The sequence below is a fragment of the Homo sapiens genome, chromosome 16, assembly GCF_000001405.40.
Source record: "Homo sapiens chromosome 16, GRCh38.p14 Primary Assembly".
In the NCBI taxonomy this organism is placed as follows: domain Eukaryota; kingdom Metazoa; phylum Chordata; class Mammalia; order Primates; family Hominidae; genus Homo; species Homo sapiens.
In genome coordinates this window covers 31,945,972-31,953,375 of record NC_000016.10, presented here as the reverse complement: position 1 = coordinate 31,953,375, position 7,404 = coordinate 31,945,972, and the positions used below count along the sequence as shown (strand labels likewise).

Below are 7,404 nucleotides of genomic sequence, written 5' to 3'. Positions count from 1 at the left end.
TATTCTATAATGAGACTTCAGATATAATGCCAAAAACATCATCTATGAATGAATACAATTTTACATGTTTTTGAATCTAAATTTGTACAAACACACACATACACACACAGACACATGCACACACACACGTATGTTTCTGCAATACACACTGATAAGGGAGTAAAGACAGCCACAGACTTGGAAAAAATACTTCCAAGTCACATATTTGTTAAATGAATTCTTTTAATTTGTTAAGTGACTTTTATAAACAATATGCAAGTAAACTTACAATGAATCAAAACAAAGCAATGCAGTTAAAATGAACCAAATATCAGGAGAGGCATCTCAACAAAAGTTATTGGAAAATTGTTAAATATGAACTTTTTGAGGGACATGTGCATTTAAATAAAAATTAGATCCCATTATTCACCTACTAGATTGGTTAAAACACACAACTCTCATAAGGATACATGGCAATATGAATGTGGAAAACCAAGAACTATCGTGCATTGATGGTGGGAATTCAAAATGCTACACGCACAAAAGGAAATTTTTTTGGCATTTTTAATAGATATAAATGCAGACTTAAAATGTGATTTTGTGTCTGTATTCCAAAATACTTACAGCACTGATTAAGAAATTAATGTTTACAGAGATACCTTCAGAGGAAGTTCTATATTAGTTTCATTAATTTGATTCATTCTCTAATCATTGAAATTTGTTTACAGAATAAATGTTGTATGAAAAATCTCTCAAATAATTAAAATTTCTCAAATACACATTAATATTGTTCCTTTTCTTTAATGACTTAATGTCATTTTCTAAGCAAATCTTTAATCTAATAATCTTTGTCATCTCCTCTGTGTCAGCACAGGTGTCTCCTTCCTGGGGTTTCTGACACTCTCAGGATGTGGGTTTTTGCACTGTGTCTCTCACACAGTAATACACGACCATGTCTTCAGATCTCAGGCTGCTCAGCTCCATGTAGGCTGTGCTCATGGACCTGTCACTGGTAATGGTGACTCTGCCCCAGAACGTCTGTGCATAGTGTGTGTTATCATTGTAAGGGTTGATTCATCCCATCCACTATGCCCTTGTCCAGGGCTTTGTCACACCCACCGTGTAAAGTATTTGGTGAAGGTGTATCTGGAAGCCTGGCAGGAGACCTTCACTGAGGACCCAGGCTTCTTCACCTCAGCCCCAGGCTGCAACAGCTGAACCTGGGAATGGACACCTGTGAGGAGAATGGAGGAGTTGATAAAAGCCCCCTTGACTGAACTCAATCCCCTCCTCATCACTGGTACTTGGGAGCCCCTTACCTGTGGCAGCTGCCACCAAGAAGCGGATCCCCCAGGTACAGTCCATGGTGAGGAGCTGTGTTCTCAGGGGCTTCTATAGAGGAGGGATGTGGTTGTTGGGTGATGCTCTCAGGGCACAGACATCCAAATTTACCTCAGTGGATCTCAGGTTATTTGCATATTCATGAGATAGCATTTCATAGCACAAAGCCTGGTTAATAATAAGAAAGGGAAGATAAATGACACATCAGATTTACAAGAGTGAGATGCTGATGGTCCAAGCCCTATTCCTGTTTGAGGAAATGCATGCCCTGCTCCATTTATGAACATTCATGAACAGAGGTCCTTTCACAGAAGAACAATCCCCCTCAGGACACGCTCCTCACTGTGAACCTACATTTTATAAGCACAGAGACCACCTGGATAATTTCTGGAACCATCACTCTCCATGACACTGAGCAGGTGCCTTGGTTCTGTCCTGGATCCATCAGTCACCAGCACAGCTGACTGATGACTGAGGAAGTTACTGCTGATGTCCCACGTGAGTGACCAGCAGGTCCCTCTGAGATCTGCTGGGCACTCCTGAAACAGTGTCTCCAGCACCTGCCTGGTGTTCAGATCCCCCAGGATCTTCAATAGAAACACTCTTGTTTACAGATTTGCTCTGTGATGTGTGATTAGAGATGATTTTCTCATCTCAGGAACCATAAGAATCAGAAGCTGAAACGGTAGTTTCAAATTCTTTATGAACTCATTGCTCCCAAAATATTTGTCAAGGAATTTGTGTTTTGAATAATTTGGGGTTAATTTTGGACTCAATTTATTGGAATTTTTTGAAGTATTTATATATTTTCAATTAATATCCATAGGTCCTCATCTTTACATATTGATATCTAACTCACCTGGTCTGTGCCCCCAACAGCCCAGACCCTGCCTTGCAAAGAGGTTCCTGCTGGGACTTACAAATCATTTCCCCCAAGCTTCTCTAGCCCAGCATGAAATGGCTGTGTCCTGGTTTATCATACTCCTTCAGTGACACCATATGCTGCTGACACCATCTCTTGAAACAACTGATTAGCCTTACTAAACCTATTGAACTCTGCAAGGAGACCCAGAGCAAGGATTCAATGACACAGAAGGGAGCCCCTTCTCTGAAGCTCCAGATTCACTTCATTAGTGGAACCAAAATGAAGACAAAAACTTACAGGAGATTTGGGAGTGCCGTGTTTCTTCACTGGGCTCTTGTAGTTGAATGTTGCATCTGAGAATACCAGCAGGTGCAGATACATTCAGATGAAAGCCCACTCCATACCCACTATTCCAATAACACACATTTTCCCTTCTTCCTAATATGTAGCTTTTAGGAAGTGCCTCCTACACTGACACTAGGCCCAGTTATCTGACTTTCTTCTCCTAGAGATTTAAAGCAAACAGGATACAGGTGGAGACTTGGGAAGTGCATGCAGGTTGTTATTTTCACTTTCTCAGCTGGGAAACCAGCAAAGTCCCCATAATAAAAGAAGCTGAGATCTATGATGGCATTTACAAGATGTTGGTCTTAAAAATCATGATGTCAGAGGCTTCACATTGCTCTACTGCCTTTGTCTCACCCTCTGTCATTGTCTTAGTGTTTCTGTATTCTCCTCAGATAGAGTCTGTGCATTGCCACACTTTCATCTTTAATCCATAGTCATCATCCTAGTTAGAATGGATTGTGCAGTGCAGGTAAGCACTGCCTGTTCTTCCAATGGAAACCTAGAGATTCAATAGGCTTCCTCTTCTGGGCTGTGACCTTGAAAAAGCATCTCCAGGGGAAAAGCTCATTTTTGGCTGTTACTCCCTTTTGTGGTTTTGGCCTCCCTGGACTATTTACGTACATCTTACCCCTTTTGGCTAACTTTACTCATTCATATAATAATGGAAGAATGGGAGAGAATCTGGAATGGGAGATTTGTCTTCCTTCACATAGGATAAGGTTCTGGAAAAGTCATTCCCTTTAGAAGCTTTTGAAGTAGGCTCCTGGTATAGTTTTCTGTAATTAATCATCTTCATTTCATCTTCAATTCTGACCCACAGGAAATTTATTTGGATTGTATATTTTAGAATCTGGAGGTTTCTGGAGAGAAAGTCCAGAAACCTTAGAAGTATAAGACCCTCTGGAATGGTCACATTTACTGAGTCCACATTTGTCTTTCAGACGTCTATAGTGGTTACCATGTAAGTGCCCTCAACAGCTTGTGGCTTCTGCAGCTTCTGCAGTTTCTGCGCAAAGGACAGAATCTCATCATTTTTATGACTGGATAGTGTTTCATTGTGTATATGTGCCACACTTGTAAATTCATTTATCCATTGATAGACACTTAGGTTGATTCCATGTCTTAGCTATTGTAAATAGTGCTAGATATGGAAAGTGGATATGTCTCTTCAATATACTGATTACAGTTTTGGGGATATATAGCCAGCATTGTATTTGGTGAATCATTTGGTAGTTCTATTGATAATTTTTTGGGAAACTTTGTACTGTTTTTCCTAATGGCTGCACTAATTTAAATTTCCACCAATAGTGTATAAATGTTTCTCTTTATCCACATCCATACCAGCATTTGTAATTTTTTTAAATTATAGCCATCCTAAGTGAGATAAGATGATGTCTCATTTTGTTTATGATTCGTGTTTCCCTGATGGTTGGTTGTGTATCTTCTAAAACTTCCTTTTCAATATGCATGGATTTCATTTATTTTTCATGCTTAATTTATCTGGCTATGACTTCAGTACTATGTTGAATAGCAACCATGAAAGCAGGCATCCTTGCCTTGTTCCTGATCTCAAAGAAAAGACTTTTATTTTTTACCACTGTGTATGATGTTACCTGTGAGTTTTTAAATAAACATCCTTTCTCATGTTGAAGTAGTTTTTGTCATTGTCTAGTATTATTAGTAATTTTAACATAAAAATGTGTTGAGTGTTGTCAAATGCTTTTTTGCATCAATTGAGATAATCATGTATAGTCTTTTTTTCTTCATTCTGTTAATGTGGTGTATTTCATTGATGAGCCAACTTTACATTGTAGTAACAAACTTAACTTAATCATAGTGTATAATCCTATTAATAAGTTGTTCTTGGGTTTGCTAGCATGCTATTGAGAATTTATGAGTCAATTTTCATAAGGGACTTTGGTCTGTATTTTTTTTTTTTACTCATAGTGTTTTGTATCAGGGTCATGCCAGCCTCGAAAAATGAACTGTTTCATTCTACTCAACTCTTTGGAAACATTCAGGAAGATTGTTGTTAATTCTTTAAATGATTAGTAGAATTTAGCAGTAAAGTTATCTGATCCTGTGCTTTTCTTTGTCTGAGAAATTTGATTGTGATTCAATCTACTTACTAGTTAGTTACAGCTTTATTCTGATTTTCTATTTCTCCATAATTGACACTTGGCAGGCAGTAAGTTTCTAGGATTGTTCCATTTTATTGAGGTCATCCAACTGGTTTTCAAGGGTTCATAATACTCTCTTATGGTCTTTTTTATTTCTATAAAATCAGCAGTAATATTTCTATTTTTTTTTAGTTATGTAATTCCTCTTTCTTTTTTATTTATTTGTTTTGGTTATTTAGCTAGAGGTATGTCAATTTTGTTTATCTTTTTTTTTTTTAAGTTTCACTCTTGTTGCCTAGGCTGGAGTGCAATGGCCTGATCTTGGCTCACCACAACCTCCACCTCCCGGGTTCAGGCGATTCTCCTGCATTAGCCTCCCCAGTAGCTGGGATTTCAGGCATGTGCCACCACTCCTGGCTAATTTTGTATTTTTAGTAGAGATGGGTTTTCTCCATGTTGGTCAGGCTGGTTTCGAATCACCGACCTCAGGTGATCCGCCTGCCTCAGCCACCCAAAGTGCTGGGATTACAGGCCTGAGCCACTGCGCCCAGCCGAATTTTGTTTATCTTTTCCACCAACCAACCGTTAGTATTATTGATTTCTTTATAGTTTTATAATCTCTATTTGGTTTACCCTGGGCTCTAGTCTTTATTATTTTTTCTTACACTAGCCTTGGATTCAGTTCTTTTAAAATATTTTCTTAAGGCATAAAGTTATGCTGTTGATTGAGGTCTCTCCTTTCTAATGTAAGTATTTACAGATATAAATTTCTTTTTTAGCATTGGTTTCACAGCATCCACCTCAAATATTTTGTTGTGTTTTGCTTTTATGTTCATTTGTATCAAAATAATTGTGTAAATTTCCTTGTAATTTTTTCTAGGAACAATCAGTTAGTTAAGTGTGTTATGTAATTTTCATGTTTGTGAGTTTCCCATTTTTCATTCTGCTGTCGATTTTTGAGATTCCTTCCACTGTGTTCAAAAGAAATATTTTATATAATTTCAATAATATGTAATTTATTATGACTCCTGTAGTCCAACATGTAACTTATTTGAATAATATTCTATGTACAATAGAAAACATGTATTCTGGTGTATTTTTTGTTCTTTATTTAAAAGTTTTATTTTTAATTTTTGTGGGTACATAGTAGGTTTTCTCTCTGGAAGATCTGTCCCACGCTGAATATTTTCACTAAATATACTATTCTAGATAAAAGTGGTGTTTTTTTTTTCAACACTCTAAATATGTCATGCTACTCTCTCCTGGCCTATAAAGTTTCCACTGAAAAGTCTGCTGCCAGACATTTGTTTCCTTTCTCTTGCTGCTTTTTAAATCCTTTCTATATCTTTGACTTTTGGGAGTTTGACTATTAAATGACTTGATTTTGTCTTCTTTGGGTTAAATCTTTTTGGTGTTCTATAACCTTCTTGTCCATGAATATTAATATATTTTCTAGGTTCGGAAAATTCTCTGTTATTATCCCTTTGAACAAAGTTTCAAGTCCACCTCTTTCTCTACTTCCTTTTTAAGGCCAATAACTGTGAGAGCTTCTCTTAAAGACTATTTTCTAGATCTTGTAGGCATGCTTCATTGTTTATTCTTTTTCTTTTGTCTCCTCTGACTGTGTATTTTCAAATAGCCTGTCTTCAAGCTGACTAATTCTTTCTTCTGCTAGATAAATTCTCCTAGATACACTGATGCATTCTTCAGTATATTAATTGCATTTTCAACTTAGAATTTCTGCTTGATTCTATTTAATAATTTCAGTTTCTTCATTGAATTTGTCTAATAGAACTCTGAATTTCTTCTCTGTGTTATCTTTAATTTTTTTGCGTTTCCTCCACAGAGTTACTTTGAATATTCCATCTGAATGGTCACATATCTGTTTTTCCAAGATTTTTTTTTTTGGTCCATTGCTTACTTTGGTGAGGTCGTCTTTTCCTGGATGGTCTTAATGCTTGTAGATGTTTGTCAGTTTCTAGGTATTGCAGAATTAGGCAATTATTGTAGTCCTCACAGTCTGGGCTTTTTTCTGCCTATCCTTGGGAAGGCATTCTAGGTATTCATAGGGACTTAGACCCCAAGCCCAATAATGCTCTGGTTGTCTCAAATTCATAGAGGTACTGCTTTGATGGTCTTGGATAAGATCTTAAAGAATTTTATGGATTACCTGGTGGAGGTTTTGTTCTTTTCCCTTACTTCCTCCCAAAGAAATGGAGTCTCTCTCTCTCCATACAATACTGGGCTTGTGTGGATATAAGCACTCCTGTGGCCACCACCACTGGGGATGCACTCATTCAGACAGAAAACTGGCACAACACTGACTCTTGCCCAAGGCCTGCTGTAATCACTGTCCGGCTACCACCTATGTTCACTCAAGGCCTAGTGCTCTAGAATTTTCAGGCTGTGAAGCCAGCCAGGTTTGTGTACCTCTTTTCAGGGCAGTGAGTTTTCCCATGTTCAGGTGAATCCAGAGATGCTATCTGAGGGCCCGGGATTGGAGTTTAAAACCTTGTAAATTTACCCGATGTTCAATTCTACTGTGGCTAAGCTGGCACTCAAACCACAAGACAAAGCCCTTCTCACACTTTGATCTTTTTTCTATAGGCAGAGGAGCCTATAGAAAAAAGAGCCTTGTGTCCACCACCACCACCACTGCTCCATGGAGGTTTCTGCTAGGTCACTGCCAGTGTCACTTAAAGCTTAAGGGCTCTTGAGTCAGCTTGTTGTGAATGCTGCCAGGCATAGGAC

At 37.9% G+C, this 7,404-nt stretch overlaps 1 long non-coding RNA gene across 1 annotated transcript; it reads right to left on the bottom strand.

The window, feature by feature from the left end:
- Positions 1 to 204: 204 nt before the first annotated feature.
- LOC124903681 (uncharacterized) lies at positions 205 to 1,501 on the bottom strand. The gene is made up of 2 exons (XR_007065053.1): positions 1,299 to 1,501; positions 205 to 1,213 (listed from the first exon to the last, which is right to left on the bottom strand). It is a non-coding gene; the product is annotated as an uncharacterized LOC124903681 (long non-coding RNA).
- Between the last annotated feature and the right edge of the window lie 5,903 nt (positions 1,502 to 7,404).